At 43.2% G+C, this 17,496-nt stretch overlaps 1 protein-coding gene across 11 annotated transcripts in view, besides 3 other annotated features; it reads right to left on the reverse strand.

Moving 5' to 3' along the window:
- Positions 1 to 17,496, reverse strand: part of SLAMF1 (signaling lymphocytic activation molecule family member 1) — a 38,939-nt gene that overhangs the window by 12,154 nt on the left and 9,289 nt on the right. For 3 of the 11 annotated variants that reach the window (NR_104399.3, NM_003037.5, XM_047428486.1), the window contains exons 2-4: positions 16,932 to 17,270; positions 14,354 to 14,638; positions 3,837 to 3,926 (exon numbers count right to left, since the gene is read on the reverse strand). Coding sequence is in view for 8 of the 11 variants with exons in the window: in NM_003037.5 (NP_003028.1) it covers positions 3,837 to 3,926; positions 14,354 to 14,638; positions 16,932 to 17,270 (714 nt within the window). In the remaining 3 variants the exon portion in view is untranslated. Of the gene's footprint in view, positions 1 to 3,243; positions 3,327 to 3,836; positions 3,927 to 14,353; positions 14,639 to 16,931; positions 17,271 to 17,496 lie in introns of those variants that run through there. The other 8 variants (NR_104400.3, XM_005245456.5, XM_047428487.1 and 5 more) reach the window with 5 other exon arrangements.
- Positions 4,486 to 4,615: an enhancer, noted in NCBI's record as "active region_1935". NCBI's record gives its function as "activates an Ori minimal core promoter by ATAC-STARR-seq in GM12878 lymphoblastoid cells {active_cell/tissue: GM12878}" and the evidence as "EXISTENCE:reporter gene assay evidence [ECO:0000049][PMID:35858748]".
- Positions 7,041 to 7,090: an enhancer, noted in NCBI's record as "active region_1936". NCBI's record gives its function as "activates an Ori minimal core promoter by ATAC-STARR-seq in GM12878 lymphoblastoid cells {active_cell/tissue: GM12878}" and the evidence as "EXISTENCE:reporter gene assay evidence [ECO:0000049][PMID:35858748]".
- Positions 9,401 to 9,490: an enhancer, noted in NCBI's record as "active region_1937". NCBI's record gives its function as "activates an Ori minimal core promoter by ATAC-STARR-seq in GM12878 lymphoblastoid cells {active_cell/tissue: GM12878}" and the evidence as "EXISTENCE:reporter gene assay evidence [ECO:0000049][PMID:35858748]".

The following is a 17,496-nucleotide window of genomic DNA, read 5'->3' on the forward strand; positions in this document are numbered from 1 at the left end:
GCTAGTTGTTTATACCTCTTTTGTATTTTCCAGCTGGTAGTATGTTGCTTCACTCACAGCTTTCTCACCTCCCTATTTCTGGGGGAATTGATGTGTGGGAGGTAAGGGCGGGGGGACGTGTAAGAGGGATGTTCCACCTGGGACTATTTAGAAAATAAAGCAACAATGTCATTCTGTTGCCCACCATCTGGAAATTTTGCTCAGGGCCTAGGGTCTCTGGAAATTAATAAGTTGCAGAATATTTTAATTTTTAGCCAATTTTAAAAAGCTTTCTTTTTAAATTATAGGAGTAATTTATTCTCATCATAAAATAAAAATTGTGAAGAAATATATAAAGTATAAAGTAAAAAGTATAAATCCCCTTCTTCCATTAACCAACCCAATTTCATTCCCAAAAGAAACCGTATTTTTCAATACCTGTGAAAAGAAGTGGGAAAAAAAAGAAGAAACCATTTTTAAAAGTTTGATGTATATCCCTGTAGATCAGCTCTGTGCAACAGAACTTTCTGAGATGATGGAAATGTTCCATATCTGCAGTGTCTAATACAGCTTACAGACACGGGGCTATGGAGCACCTGAACTGTGACTAATGTCACTGAATTTTAAATTTTATTTAATTCAAATTAATTTAAATTTAAAAAGCCACATGTGGCTAGTGACTACCATATTAGACAATGCAGTTTTGGATATTTGCTATACTTATATAGACTTTTTTCCACACAAGAGGTGTCATTCTGCACACACTTCTCTGTAACTTGATCTTTTCACTTAAAATGTATTGAGGACATTTTTCATGTTAGCACAGTAGACCTATCTCATTCTTTCTAAAGTTGCACAGTATCCTTTGTATACATCATGCAGCAGTAAGGATGGTGGGAAAGTGGCAGACTGAAGGATGGAGGTTTATTATGGGATTATTGCAAAGTCCAGGCAGAGGCAATGGAGGCTGGACCCAGAAAATCACAGCCTTTAAGGTAGACTTATTTTAACACCAGTTAATTTATTCTCTTAAAAAACTGGGCTGGGTGCAGTGGCTCACGCCTATAATCACAGCACTATGGGAGGCTGAGGTGGGCAGATCACGAGGTCAGGAGTTTGAGACCAGCCTGGCCAACATGGGGAAACCCTGTCTCTACTAAAAATACAAAAATTAGCCAGGCATGGTGGCACGCGCTTATAATTTCAGCTACTCAGGAGGCTGAGACAGAAGAACTGCTTGAGCCCAGGAGACAGAGGTTGCAGTGAGCCGAGATCATGCCATTGCACTCCAGCCTGAGTGACAGAGCAAGAATCTATCTCAAAAAAAAAAAAAAAAAAAAAAAGGCACATCTCTGAGGAAATAGCATTTTTAGGAGAGGCACATTTTTCTTTGGAAGGGAAAGGCCCAGTGTGTATGTGGTGAGCATGGTGGAATGTGCTGCGTGAGGGTGTGAGTCTTGGGGAGGAAATGTGGGGCAGACACTGATGAAGTTCCAGGAATTCAAGGAAAGTCAACATGGGATTTTTTGTGTGTGGGTATGAGCACGGTGTGCCTAGTGGTTTCAACTTCGCTTTTTTGGTCAGAGTTGATCCTGACTGAGGAGTGTGCGTGAGTGCGTGTGTGTGTGTGTGTGTGTGTGTGTGTGTGTAAAATGGAGGGGAGGACTCAAGAAGCAGTTGGAGGTAGCAGAGGAGGTTCAAGTTAGTCCCCACGAGTGTTTGCAAAGTAAGACATGCCTGCCCAGCACTCTCCTAGGTGCTGTAGTGGCTACAAATAGAGTAGAGAACAGACTACAGTCCTCAAAGACTTTCAGTCTTGCAGGTCAGCTCAGAGTCAAATGTAGAACTGGAAGGACAGTCCTAAATGGTCAGACAGATGGAAGAGGTGAGGTTGATTGTTGCTGCTTAAAAGGACCATTGGACCAAGATAATTTAGTCTCAGGTTATTTTCCCCAGTGCAAGAACAGGTTTTTAGGAGTAAGCTTAACTCGGCTCCAAGTCAGCAAGGTCTTAGGCTCTAAGGAAAAAGTCTTGGCCTTAAAATTAGGACATCTACATTGTAGCCATCATTAGCTGTGTGGCATTGGACAAATCACGTCATCTCAATGGGTCTTTTCTCTTACCATAACTGTAAAATGAGGGCATAGAGTATCTAATATCCTTTTCAGCTTTTACCTGAAGCATAAAGTCTTATGTTACCATGACTTAAAATATTTTCAATCTGTTCTAGGTATTGTTTCCAGATGCTTCCAGTGCAGCTTCTCCTGGCCATAGCACTTACACATTGCCATTTTAATTCATCTACACTAAGAGATCTGTCTATCTGTCTATGTATCTATCTGTCTATGTATCTATCTATCTATCACCCATCGATGGGAACCACTGTGTTCAGTGTTTTCTGTGTATTGATACCAATCTCCACCACAATACCATGAAGTACATAGTATTACCCCTGTTTTGCAGACGAGAAGTTAAGTCATTTGATCACACAGCTTGTCAGTAGCAAAATCTGCATCTGAATGTAAGTTTGTCTAATGCCTATACCCACATTCTTTATCAGTGTATTCTCCTGGACATGAAATTGCCAAAGAGTCATGAAATTGAAAAGCCTTCAGCGTCAGGCTGCATTCTGATGATTATAGCATTAGAAGCTGCCAATATAATTTCTTTAGCAAGGTTTTATGAAAGGTGCAGCAACTAAATATAAATTTTACCGCAAGTTTGAGGCAGTTTTGTGTGTTGCTAACTTACAAGGGACAAATGGTGAATGGGGTTGAGGTGAGGATGGGTATGTGTGTTGGGGAAGGTAGTGGGGAATTGTGGGATGGGGAGCACTATTCCCTTAGAGCACAACCATGTGATAAGCCAAGTGTGGTTGAGGAAAGAGTATGGCGTAGGATCCCAGCAATTTTACTAGGTAGGTTAATGTGGATAAGTTAAGTTCAGTTTTCTCATCCTGGGTCATCTCACTATTTCCTTATAGTATGAGCTAAATGTGATTGCCCTACCCCGAGCCCCATAGGCTGTCAACCTAATTTCTATCTGAATCACCCATCCCTCCTACCTGGCTAACTCTTAGATGGAGGAAATGAGACACAAGTAGGTCGCTGTGCTATGATCTAGATTTTTTTATATATGCAAAACCAACATCAGAGTGCTGAGGTAAGGGCTTTTCTAAGAAGGTTGTGTGTAGATGACACTGATCTACTTGAGAATGAAATCAGTCATCAGCTCAGTGTTATGAGGATCAAGTTCTATCCTTACCATGGGAAGGCAGCCGGGGCATCTCTCCTGGTCTTGGGTCAGGACATTTTGACTCCAGTATTGGTTGGTAGTAGTCAAGGTGGCTGAGGGGAGCACAATGCCCTGAGATATTGTATCATAGGGAAATTTGGAAGAGAGGACAGGGGATGGTACCTCTAGGCACTTCAACTGCAGGGGAATAATTGTGCCTTATTGGTTTCATTCTAACCCTGGTGACTTTTTGGATGAGATCCAATAATTTTCTGAATTCTGTTCCCAGTGAATACTCTTAAACCTCTTGTTCACTTCTTCAGCATCCTGTGTTTACCCTGATGGCAGTGCTAGTCACACTAAACTGAAATTATCTGAATAATGTCTCTCACATTAGAAACCTGTGGCTCTTCTATTTCTTTCCACAGCCTAGTAGAGGGGATCAAGACATGTTGAATTAGACTGAATTAAGCAAGGTCCCAGGATATGTTTATCTACTATTTTTGCAAAGGTGGCCCCATGCAGAAAGCCAGAGTTGTGAGAGCAAGTCCGAGCCTGTGGAGAGAGGTCCCCTGCTTACCACAGAGAGTGTGATAAGAATCTATTTATTGCCAGACACCTACCTCTTCTTCTCAACTGTAGTATTACCACCATGATGAGAATCATGATGACACCCCCTAACAGCCCAGCATACACTGCCCATGGTTTTGTTTCTGGAAAAAAAAAGAAGTCAAAGAGCAATCTCAAAAGTATTCTGAGCTTAAAAACATCTTACATGAAAGTGGGATAATGGAGCCTCATGTTCTATTTCTGCATTCTCTCCCAAGGGAGACGTTTGTTTTCATGGTTTTAGAGGTCAGCTTTAGACCACTGAAAATTTTTGTATCTGTTTTCTTATTCTAATTTCTCTCACTATACTTTCACATTCTTAATTTCATGAAGATTTTTCTATCCAAATGCTTTATTTTTAACTCAACTACCACATGTCTAACATTAAATTATCTTCATCTCTCCTAAGTCAATCTCTCTGCCCAGTTTCTCCATCTTAAGATTGCTAATGTGTCCTGTATCCATTTTGGGTAAAGAGAATATAATGGTTCCATGTGCCGTCCCTGTGAATTCACGCTATTCTCATGAGACACTGGGAGGAAGAAAGATCTACTTATCTTTTTTAAAAATAAACATAATAGTGCTATTGTTGTCCTTTCATGCAAATAACTGGGTTGAACCCAGCAGACCTGAACTGAAAGGAAAGTATTTAGTCTTTCCTCTAAATCATCTTCATGTTTAAAATTAGCCCGAGAACTAATCATCAAGGCTCAAAATCAGAGAGAAAACTTTTATTGTTTTCTCTCCTTTACCCACTTTATCAAATCCTTTTGAACTAGGAGCAACACTTTGACAAACAGTGAATGAGAATTATCACCCCCAGTAAACAAGACATGTAGCTCAATAAGATTATAATGAACAATTATTGAGCACTTGCAATGGGCCACATATTTTTAGTGCATCATGTGTACTAACATATTTAATCCTCACAATAATCTTACAAGGTAGGTACACTCATTATTCTCATTTTATGGAGAAGGAAAACAGCCTGGAGAACCTCAAGAACTAGAGCTTGGTTTAGTAGTAGAAATGTGGCTGAATACTAAAGACAGACTTCTTGGAGAGTTAGAGAGACTTATGGGCTTGGAAAAAGTTATACCGGGGTAATGAACAGTGGGGACCGAGCTGAAGCCCTAGGGTTCTAAGTAGAATATTCGCACTAAGGTTCTAAATAGAGTAACACCAGATGTTAACATTAATGTGTAAGGGAAACTTATAAGGATGATTGTGGAATAAGCCTGCTTGTTGTTGAACCTGTGAGGAATTTGTGGGGCAGAAATTGAAAGAAAAATAGTCGGGTTCCAAAGGAAAGAATCATGGTGGACACAATCAGATGTTTACAGAGTTGACCAAAGATACAGACAGTCTCAATGAATTCATAAAATGCAGCCTACAAGATCCAAAGGGGCCTCCAGCCTGATAGCTGGCAAGAAGTTGCCTTCTGGATTTGAAAAGATTCTTTTTCTCCTTAGGCCTTTCACACATCAAGTTAGCCCAAGGAATCTCACTGAACTGACTTTGCAAACACCTTGGTTATAGGTTCTATCCCCTAAATTAAATGTTTTAATTTTGCCAGATACCAACTTCAACAGTCTTATGCTCTGATTAAAAAAAAAAGTTAGGAGGCAGGCAGAGAGTTCTGAATTTGTATAAAGCATGACATTTTGAATCATTGCTGATGCTGGAGGAAGGAGCAGCTCCACTCTGAGTGACTTATGGTCACTGAGAACCCTCTGTGCAGGAGTGTGTGTGTGTGTGTGTGTGTGTGTGTGTATGTGTGTATGTGTGTGTTTGAGACAGATTGATTCATTCAAGGTTTATGATATCGACACTAGGAACCACTGGAGAAATCACTCTAATACTAGGATAAGAAGCAAAGCCAGTAGCCTGAACTTTGTGTTTCGTCAGCCTATGGAACTGATCCAGCAAACCATTATAGTAGCACTTACTATTTTGACTAGTTCCTCTTTCTTCTTCTATCATAGATACTTTGGGAACTTCCAATACAACAACTGATTTGAGAAGAAACACCCCCACCATTTATATCATTTTAAAAGATAATATTTCTTTCCAATTTCACTTGAGATTAAAAAAATAAAACCAACAGACAAAGTAGTACCTCTGAACTGGAAAATAAAAGACAAAACTGCACCAGTAATGCCTGGTGAGTCAGCCTCCTCTCCCTCGCGCCCGACGCCGGTTGCTCTGCTGCCCACCAACTCACAGAAACTAACGATGACTGGGTGCAGCACCAAGGCTTCAGGACATGACAACGCCGGCCCTCTCTATCTTTTCTAGGGTCTCTAGAGGATGAAAGCAATCTGCTACCTTTGTCCTATGACAAGCTTCTGCCAGTCCATCTAGATCTGAGAGACAAGTTGGCCATGGTCCTGAAAGATATTTCATAAACTCTAATTTTTTTCCTCATCTTTGGATACAAATATGAATCATAGACCTTTTTAACCTTAAGGGAACTATAGTATAGTGCTTATTTCACCCAACCCACTAATTTTATTTTGAGGACACTGAGACACAGACAGGAGTATCCAGAGTCATAGAAAAAGTCAGTGGCAGAGCTGGATAAGATGGGAACTGCAGATTTTGTGGTTTGTGCTTTAGCCTCTGGAGATGCGGTCCCCATAAAGAAGGCAGTAGTGATGTCAAAGCCCTTTTGACTCAAACCTTTTGAGTCAAAAGCCCTCTGAGCAGCCAACCCATCCTTCATCATCCTCCATCCAACACATGCTCATTCCTGGCCCCAGGCTCCACTCCATACTCTCCTTCCTGCTGCACCCTAAGCTGTCCACCATGCCTGCCTAGCCTTGATGCCCAGGCCAATCTTCCTTTCTTTGTGTCACCTTTCCTGACCATCCCAGCTCTTGTTCTTCCCTGTCCCTTGGACTCCTGCAGCACCTGTGGTTTATGTCATGTATCTTAGAACCTGAGTTTTGGCAACATCATCTTTACCATGCAGACCATTTTCAGTGATGGTATTTGGAGCCAGATAGATAAGTTCAAATTCTGGGTCTACCACTTGATAGCTCTGTGACTACAGATAAGCTACTCATACCCTCTGTGGCTTCAACTTCCTCATCTGTAAAATGAGCATAACAATAAGTTCACAGTGTTGTTCTGAGAAACCCATATAGTAATGTATGGAAAGTGCCTAGAGCAATATCTGGAATCCATCATGTGGTCAGTAAGTGTCAATTACTTCTGCTAGCCTCAATTCTCCAAATAGTTGCTAGGTTCTAGGAGGCCAGAGACCATCTCTTACACTACTTTAACAGCTCTCTTAGTACTCAGTACATAATAGAGTCTCAGTAAATTCTTGTTGATTGATTGGAAAGACAAGAAAATGAGTTTGATCTTAAGTCCAAAGGAGTCTCTTCACCAGTGTCCAGAGATGCTTCAGTCCCATCTGTTCTTTACTTATGGCTTAGTTTCCCTACCTGTATAGTAGGCCCAAGTATTTTTATACTTGGTGCTCATCCATTTGTTGCTATTCTTTAATTATATTTACATGGAAATCAAATGTCAGAGACCCCATGCTCTTAGAAATTTGGATAAGTATGAAAAAAGTGCTACTATTACAGTTTGTTCAGGTCAAGCTGCACATGATTTCTGTAATTTCTGGGAGTAATTTCCTCATGGTTCTCTAAGTCTTTGCTCCTATAACTCTGCTTGCTCTACTCTGTGCTTCCTTGGGTGCAAGGTTTAGTCACTTCATCAGTGATATGGTTTGGCCACGCCCCCACCCAAATCTCACCTTGAATTGTAATAATCCCCATGTGTCAAGGGTGGGGCCAGGTGGAGATAATTGAATCATGGGGTGGTTTCCCCCATGTTGTTCTCATGGGAGTGAATAAGTCTCACAAGATCTGATGGTTTTATAAATGGGAGCTCCCCTGCACAAACTCTCTTGCCTGCTGCCACGTAAGACATGATTTTGCTCCTCATTCGCCTTCAACCATGATTGTGAGGCCTCTCCAGCCATGTGGAACTATGAGCCAATTAAACCTCTTTCCTTTATAAATCACCCAGTCTCAGGTATGTCTTTATTGGCAGGATGAGAGCGGACTAATACAATCAGTTTCCACAAACAAACCAAAAAAACTTTTTTTTAAAAACTTACACCAATAATTTTGTGGGTTTAAGTTCTCTGCTGAAGATTGAAGGGTCCCAGGGAGCAAATTCCATTGTGAACCAGGCAGCTTTCACCACCTAGCAGGTTCAGACTCTCTCTTTCTCTTCCCATTTCTGCACAAGTATCATCTTCCTCCATTCTCATACAGAACCATCCAACCCACACCCAGATTCCTGGGGGGTCTCCACCTGCCTTCTAGCATTTATTAAGGTACTATCATAAACAAATACAATTCCTTTTCAAAGAGGAATTCTAGTAGCAGTTCCTTGATTATAATATGTTTCTTTAAATATTATATTTTTCTAGCTAGTAAGATGTAGAAGTCCCACTTTGATTGCAAATTCCATGAAGGTAGGCCCTGTACCTTATTCTTTATTTGTATCCTCCATTCCACCGGAAACAATATAGGGCAGGAGGGCACTCAATATGCACTCGATGAACTAAGTTAAATTAAATGAGAGTCCACAAAAATGGATCTAGAAAAAGACTGTCACGTAGCTTTCTGTTTAAAAATTACCAGAAGGAATGCAGGGTCACCTGCTGAATGGCCCAAGGCAGGAATCAAAGGGAAGGAGAAGTGACCCACTTGGCTTATACTTTACAATAACAAGATGGAGCCAGGAGGCAAGTGTGTGTCTGTGCCATCGGCGCTTCACCTGTGCTCCCATTTTCAAACCACCATTTCCTGTGGCAGAAGCTCCAGCTCTTCTTCTCTTTGCTCAGTCATGTAGTGAGGCCTCTCTGGATGGTGATGCTGAGAAATCAAAGTTGTCTTGGGGTCTAGAAGCTCCTGACTCCTTCATTCACAAAGAAATGCTACCTGAACATTTCTGAACCAGAGGTTTGGAACTCCCCCTACTCCCGAGGCTCTTAGAGGCGGCCGAGCAGGCTGGTCAATAACTCACATGCCATTTGGGAAGAGTGCTTTGCTCGAGTCTCCACCCTGGGCCCTCTCCACCTATTGTCTGTGGTTTAAACGTGATAACTTGGCAGACAGTCACACATCCAAGGAAAAAGCCAGAGGGCGTTTTTTTTCTTGTCTCTGAAAGTGTTGTCACAGAAACACAGAAGCGTGTCTCTCTCTCTCTCTCTCTTCTCAAGTCCCAAAATCTTATTATTAATATTTTTTTTAGGGAAGATGAAAAAGAAAACTAAAAAGAATCTGAGAAACAAATGCAGTTCACCTAGGAGATACTGCGACGTTAGCGTAACGGTGGGAGCGTGCCGGATCTCCTTCCTGCCTTTCATGTGGTTCTGTCAGCAAAGGCTGCCATCTTCAAGAGATACATTCTTGTTCGTGGCAGTTTCCATTCAGAACTGGGGGTGGGGAAGGATCCTCATGAACCATATACTAATTTAAGTTCTGGGACCATCCAAGTAAACATTTTTACGGAGTTCACAGCTTCCAGAAAAATCACTTACAACCTGCCTATCCCACCCAGCATTGCAGAGGCTACTAGCTCCAGTGAGATTGCGCTCATGCTTTCGTGGTAATACGAGTCTTTTCTGGGCATGTAGCTGCTCAGCTAGGAGCTATGTGTCTCAGCTTCCCTTATAGCGGGTGTGGCCCATGACCAGGCTCTGGGCTGTGCAAAGTTTCCAGGTTTTTCCTTTCCACCATTGTTTTTACGCTCGCTAAATTGGGAAGACCCTAGAGAGAGACCTGTCTTAGTGCCTGGAACATCTAAGTGACTCTGAAACAATGGGAACTCCCTATTTGAAGAAATGACCTTGTTAGAAAGGGGAAGCCTCCGGAGCTCACTGGCAGGCGTCAGCCTTTTCTTTCACTGAGCTAACTCAGAGGTGCTGAGCCAGCGGTTTGCTGATCTGCTGAAAAAGATCCTCTCTTCAAGATGAGCTTCCAGGGGCATTCCTTTCTAGATTCCTTCATTCTAGCACAGCCATATCTATTTCAGAATACAGTCATCGAGGATGGCAGCAAGTCACACACTGTCCACAGCTGACCCACATCCACTGGCTTCACATGACCTAGCCAGAGTACTTCATAGCACCCTAAGAATTGGACTTTGCAATAAAGATGCTTCATTATGATAGACATTAACACACTGAAATGGCAATTGGAACAAGGATGAATACATGACCTGAACAAATGTCACCTAAAGAAAAAGATTTCAAGGAACATATAAGTTTTTGCACAGTTTCGCTTAAGTGAGTCCTGTCAAGATTCAGTGCTCACATCACATTGCATTCCGTCTCATCACACCATTAACCGCTGTGAGGTTTTCATTAATGAAAATGAAAAATGTCTTAAAATCACTGTCCTGATGACAGATGGCAAAGCAACCTCTAATAAACCCTCGGACCCCACCCTTTCATCCCAAGGCTGGGGTTTTCCTTTGTATGCCCTAGGAAAAATGTCTTTGTTAACTGACAGTTGCTGCTTTGGCTCGGGTCCCATCATTTTGATGGATGACTGCAATAATGGCCCCCAGGAACTGGTTTCTCTTTCTTCCCCACTTCCCTGCCCCAGTCTGTTCTCTATACTACTGGAGTTCCTCTTTGAAAAGCAAGACTGATGGTGTCACTCCTCTATCTAAAACTCTTTATTAGTTCCTATCACCTACAAGATAATACAGAGCAAGACCCAGCTGTATCTGCTCCTCCCTCTGCCTGGAATGTCTTTCATCAGCTTGGGTAATTTCTACTTATTTTTAAAACCCAGTTTATGTCACATTCTCTGGGATGCTCTCTCTAATCCCCCGAGACAGTGTTAATAATTCCCTCCTGTTTGTTGCCTTGCATATATTTCCATTTTACATCCGTCACACTGTCTAATCTCGGATCATTGTTTACTTATACAGCTGTCTTCTGCCTTAAGGCAAGGATCATGTCTTTTTTATCTTTGTGTACTGGCCCCTAGCACAATGTAGAGTGTAAATGTTTTGTCAAACTAAGTGCAGTGTTTTAAGAACTGGTAGTATTCGTTATTCATGCGCAAACACAAATCAAGGTACTGATACAATTCTGTTTTCAGTATTTAGGCAATCTGGTATACTGCGCAGGGCAGGCCACAAACCAGCTGTGTGATCTGGTTCTGAGGCAGGGAAGGTCTGGTCCCCTATCCCTGCAGGCTGGCAGGGTGGGGAGGAGGCATCTCTACTTTTATTACATGTTGAATTGTGTTTTCCCAAATTCATATGTTGATTTCCTTATTTGGACATAGCGTCTTCACAGAGTTAATTGAGTAAAACTGAGGTCATTAGGGAGATGTTTTGGGCTGAATTTTGTCTCCCCTCCCCCAAATTTCTATGTTGAAGCTCTAACCCCAAGGACCTCAGAATATGACCGTATTTGGAGGCAAGGTCTTTAAAGGTTATTAAGTTAAAATGAGGTCATTAGGGTGGCCCCTAATCTAACCTAACTGGTGTCCTTATAAGAAGAGGAAATCTGGACACACAAAGAGACACCAGGAAAGAGAAAGAGAGAGAGAGAGAGATCAGGGTGTGAGTACACGAAGGAAAGACCAGGTGAGAACACAGTGAGAAGGTAGCCATATGCAAGCTAAGGCGAGAGGCCTCAGAAGACACCAAACCTGCCAACACCTTGACCTCAAACTTCTAGCCTCCAGAACCAGGAGAAAAATAAATTTCTGTTATTTAAACCACCCAATCTGTTGTACTTTATTATGGCAGCCCTAGCAAACTGAGACAGGTGGGCCCTAATCCAATATGACTGTTGTCCTTATGAGAAGAGGAAATTTGGACACAGAAATACACATAGAGAGAAGATGATATGAAGAGACAAGGAGAAGACAGCCATTTACAAGCCAGGGAGAGGCGCCTGGGAGAGATCCTTCTCTGACAGCCCTCAGAGAAGAACAATCCTGCTGACACCTTGACTTTAGACTTCTAGCCTCCAGAACTGAGAGCCAATACATTTTGATTGTTTAAGCCACTCAGTGTGTGGTCCTTTGTTACAGCAGCCTTAGCAAACTCATACACAGTGGCAAGCCTCTATTGGCAGTTCTTATTGACACACACACACACTGAATCAAGGACTGTCTACTCTGGGAGGGACTTCATTTGTTCGCCCTTTTCATTTTACTGGGGATGAAACAGAGACCCAAGAGAGGGGAACGGCTGGACAGTTCTCTTACAAACCGAGCCGAGATCCTGACAGGGCCCTTCCTGTGGTGCCAGGTTTCTACTGCTTCCTGTCCCTCCACTCCTCACAAGAACCAGCTTCCTACTCAGTAAATCTGGTTCCCACTGGTGCATTCTTGGTCCTCAGAGTGGCTTAGATGGGTAAGTCCATCTTCACATGTTTTCTTAGAACGTCCTGAGCTGAGTGCCCTTAGTATAAGCTTTATGGCCCACCAACACTTTGGTATGCCCTAATTAAATTCTTTTTAAACTACATTGAGGAGCATGAAGAAAGTTCTGCCCCTTTTTTGGGTTAGGCCAGGGTAAAATATTCAGTGCCCTGTTTTTGTACTCTAATAGGGCAGCTATACCCAGAGAGGGCTGTGCTGAGGTAAGGGCTACTGCTTCCTCATTTACAATTAAAAAATACATTATATTTTTGTAGCTTTTATAATAAAAATTACATTTTTATTATGGTTTATAAGGCATTTTAAGTGCTTTATCTCTTTCACTAATGCCTATGAGGCTTCCAGAATCAGAAAGCCTAGCTCCATCACTTGCTCTGTGTGTGACCTTACTTAACCATGTTATAGCTTTGTTTCCTCATCTGTGAAGTGGGGATACTATCAATATTATTTTGTTGCTGTGAGGATTAACTGAGATGCCACATAACTGGCACATAGTAAACCATGATGACCCGCCAGTTGCTGTTATTTAGAGATGAAGAATCTAAATCTCAGAGGGATTGAGGCACTTGCCCTTGTAAGTAGAAAGGGCAGCATTGGCTCTAGGACTTCCGGGGTCACATTCTGTAAGCTACCCACTATGCTGCACAGCTTGCTTGTCCTGCCAGCACCTTCTAAATGACTGTGGGTGGGGAGAGCGCTCTGAACTGGGGGGTAGCCTCTGAATGTGGTTTGTATGCAAGGTGGGCAAGCAGCCAGACATATCCAGTAAGTGAGAGGACGGGGGACTCTGGCTATGAAATGTCTGGGGAGGAAACATGCAGGGGGTTAGACTCATTCAAGAACTTCCAGGGGCACACTGGAGGCCAGGTGGGATTTTCCCAGCAGTCCATCTGGGAATACTCCAGGGGAGTCTCTGTGACAGGCAGTGCTATGTGGAAGGGCATTACTTGGCTGAGTTCCCCTGTCCCTCAACCATGACCACCTGGGAAAGCCCTCCACATGGACACCATGGCTACTGTAGGCAGAAGACCCATTGGAACGATTCCTATGTCCCCCCAGTGGATGCAGAGAGGAGAATGTCAGGGTGTAAGCAATGCCTTGCAGAGCAACACCCTGGTCCTACAGTCCCTGAACCTGCCTGAGGCAGGGACACAAGATCTGTTAGTGAAAAGGGCCTGTGTTCTGTCCTGTATCCAAGTGGTTAAATGGGCTTACTTAGTAAGTTCTGTCTTCCTTTTGCTGACAGAATAATGATGCTTTTCTTTCTAGAGGAAGAACAGTCAGAAGATGTAGGTTTAGGGGTTAACTCCACTATCTACATGCCAAAGAAACTTGAAGAGGGTACTTAAATGGTATGAACGTCAATTTCCTCATCTGTAAAATGAAAGTATAACACCTATCTGGCAAGGTTATTGTGAGGATCAAAAGAGATTACACAGTTGAGAGTGCTTTGCTAATGATGAAGCGCTGTGCAATTTATTATTTTTCCTCAAACTTCACAGTCCAGGTCTTAGTCTCTCGTTCTGACTCCCCTGGCCCTGCTATGGGATTCACAGTCCATTCCATAAAACGAGGACCTTCACTATATCCTGTGTTTCATTATTAAGCAATGTTTTACGTCTTATCTTTACAATGAATTGTTAGAGAGGAGAGATCACATATCATATTTATTCACAATTTCTTACCAGGTAGGTGATCAGTAAATACTAATTGACGGTGTAGAACTGCCCCAGCATTAGTGGAGCATAGACTTGGGAGCCAGGCCCTCCCACCTGCAATCCCTCACCCAGCCAACCTTGCAGGTTGGAGTCAAGGCAAGAGGCAGAGAAGGCTACGCCTTGGAGACTTAGGCTCTGGGTCTGTCTCTATCACCTCCTGTTGGTTTCGTCAACTGTGAACTGAGCATAAAAATGCCACCCTGGTCAATATGAGAGTGAGCTCACTAAATGCACATGGTAAACTTTTGCAAACTATAAAGAAAATGTAAAGTATTGTTACTAAGGTGAATGCCATGGCTGGGGAGCAATTGGACCATGTGAAGACTGAGCCCATGCTCATTAAGGTGGCACACAGGCTGCCACCAGTGTACTCACCTGAGGGGTCTGTCCTGCATCCGGGCCACGGGCTGAAGGTCTGGGAATTGTTGCTGATAGGGTTGCTCACGGTGCAGATGTAGATATTGTCAGCATGCTGGGGGCCGAGGGTGAGGGACAGGAGGTGGGAGCTGTTGGCTGGGTTCAGTGGGTGGGTGCCCGCCTTTTCACTCCAGCTGTAAGCCACATGGTCCCCCTTCTCCACTGTGCAGCCCAGTATCAAGGTGCAGGTCCCGTTCTCCTGGGTCTTGTTTAAAACTTTAATTTCTGGAGTGGAGACCTGCTCTGTCAGGAGTGGGAGGAAGGGAGCCATCACTGAAGTGAACCCCTGGGAATTCTCACTTGACCTTTTTGTTAGAACAAAGTACAGCCTAATGGCATTTTCCCTCCCCCTCAATGTGATTTATTTCTAGTGGGGAATCTATTGCTTCACACTGTCCATCATGCCCCACTACATCCTATCTAAGACCACCTTGGGATAAAATAGAAAATAAGAATTTGCTTTTTAGGCCTCTTCTACCAATATTGTTAGGGCTCCACTCGCCCTTCCTGATGTCCTTGACCTAAGTTGCTATTCTCCTGTCTCCTATCAGTGGAGTTTGCTGTCAACTAATCCACCATGGTTTTTAGTTGGCTTACGTTGTTACTTCCTAGACCTAAAAGAATGGCTTTTTAGTGGTGGGATTTCATCTATCGTGATGTGTGTGGGAGGGTGTGTGTGTGTATGTGTGTGCGTGCGCGCGCGCGCATGTACACGGGCGCATGGGTGAGTGAGTGGGTGGGTGTGTAGTAAGTGCTTTTGTGTGTCTGAGATAGTGATAGGTCCTCAATTATAACCATAGGCCTCATCAATCTATCCCACTCTAAGGCCATGAAATAGGCCACATAAAAGGTAAATTCTTGCTTATTTAGCAACTATTATAGGACAAGCACAGTGCTGGTGTTTCACATTCATCATCTTTTTTTTTTTTTTTTTTGAGACAGAGTCTCGCTCTGTCACCTAAGCTGGAGTGCAGTGGCACAATCTCAGCTCACTGCAAGCTCCACCTCCTGGGTTCACGCCATTCTCCTGCCTCAGCCTCCCGAGTAGCTGGGACTACAGGTGCCCACCACCATGCTGAGCTAATTTTTTTTTTTTTTGTATTTTTAGTAGAGATGGGGTTTCACCACCATAGCCAGGATGGTCTCGATCTCCTGACCTTGTGATCCGCCCGCCTCGGCCTCCCAAAGTGCTGAGATTACAGGCGTGAGCCACCTCATCATCTTTTTTAATCTTCTCAACAATTATAACTCTAGTTGTAATTATTCCCCATTTTATAGATGAGAAAGCCAAGTCCCAGGGAGGTGGAATATCTTACAACTCACAGCTTCTAAGTGGCCAAGTTAAGATCTGAACCTAGGTCTGTCTGACTTCAAAATCCAAACTCTTCCTTTGGCTTGAGAAAAATGCCATGGTTGCAGAGACCACATTTTCCAAAGTAAGAATTTGATCACAAGATGTGACAAAAACAGGAAACATAGGAACCAAAGGACAGAATGTCTGGCATCCACACCGTTTTGGAAAATGCATCATGTGCAGCCTCCACGCTCATGGCAGTCGTGCCTGGAGCCACTGCTGGAAATGACTCTCAGGTACCTGGGGGAGGGCCATGGGAATTCCGCAGGCACTGTTTGAAGGAAAGGGAATGCTGGGTTGAGGGAGGATTGGTGAGAGTATTGCTGCCTTCCCTCTAGATATTTGAGAATTTCAAAGAAATGCTGGTTAGGTGGGAATTCCTGTCCCATCCCCAGAGATAAGGAAGTCATTTTGAAGAAGCAGGAAAGCCCCATGTGGCTATCAGGATCCCTGGGAATTCAGATGAGTCTCTGGGCCTAAGAGACACAATCCCTGGGTGCACTCAAGAGGGACTGGTAGTTAAAAAGGCTCAAAAAAGCACTGGCCTTGGATTCAGGTGGACTTGGTTCCTAGTTTAAGTACAGCAACTAAAAGACTTTATAACCAAAGCCTTTGTTTAAATGCCAAAAGGCACTTCTTCCACCAAGTAGGTATGATCTGGTGCCGGAATGCAGGGCTTAACAAGTGGTGTGTGGGCTGAATTTTAGCCATCTTTATCCAGAACCCCCAGTGCAGTGAAACACCTACACAAATGTGTGTAAATGTGCTAACCGCTTCTGGTTAGATTTCACTGTCCTCATGTAGGAGAGACTGGGTTTGATCTGTGGTATTCAACTTCTTTTAATCAGAAAAAAATCCTATTTTCAAATAAAATATTACTTGCAAACCAAGATCCTTGGGTCTATCGGCCCTCCAGCCCACAAGGAGCTGTGCCCCTTTCCTTTGGGAAATGGGAGTAAGAGTAACTAATGCTTAATCAGCTACCATCAATATGCAATTTGGAAAAAAAAATGTCAACCTTTAAAACGTCTTCCATGCAGCAGGTTTAAATACCCCCAAACTAGAAGATCATTCTAGTTACTTCCAATTCTGAATACCCTTTGCTTTTAAGAGAGACCTAAATTCTTGGTCAAAGGAGCACCTTGGCCCTTTAGTGTGGACTGGGGAAGCCGCCATTATTACCATAAAGCCTCAACTGCAGGCAAAAGCGCTGAACTGAAACATTTTTCTCCAGGGTCATAAGGTACCATCCCTCATCCTCCTTCCTGCTTTCCCGTATCCCCAGGGTGAGATTCTCCAGATAAAACTTGTAGCGATCTCCTAGATAACGTGGAGGGCCTGCTTCGGATGGATCAAGAGACACTATTTTGTTCTCGACACTGTTCTCCAGTGATTTTGCCATTGTGACGACAATGTGGATGCTTTTGTTCATGCTCTTATTTATCCTTTCATATGTCAGGGGCAGCAGCACTTTGCTTCCCAACTGCCGGAGAATCTTTGGGCAGTTCATCATGCGCCCACCTGTGGGAGGGAGGAGAAGAGAGTCCCTTATTATTAAGGCCTTTAGACAACATCGTGTCAGCAGATCAGGAAGGACAGACTGGAGGCTCTCCCTCTTCCTCTTTGGCTATCCCTGGGGTTGCCAAGTCCTTCGTGGTCTATAAGAACTGCCTTGAGGATCCCCACTATATTCTCAATACTTCAAAACTGTCAATAGAAATCTTCAAATTACTTAGGATAGAGTTGT

The sequence above is a fragment of the Homo sapiens genome, chromosome 1, assembly GCF_000001405.40.
Source record: "Homo sapiens chromosome 1, GRCh38.p14 Primary Assembly".
Classification (NCBI taxonomy): Eukaryota; Metazoa; Chordata; class Mammalia; order Primates; family Hominidae; genus Homo; species Homo sapiens.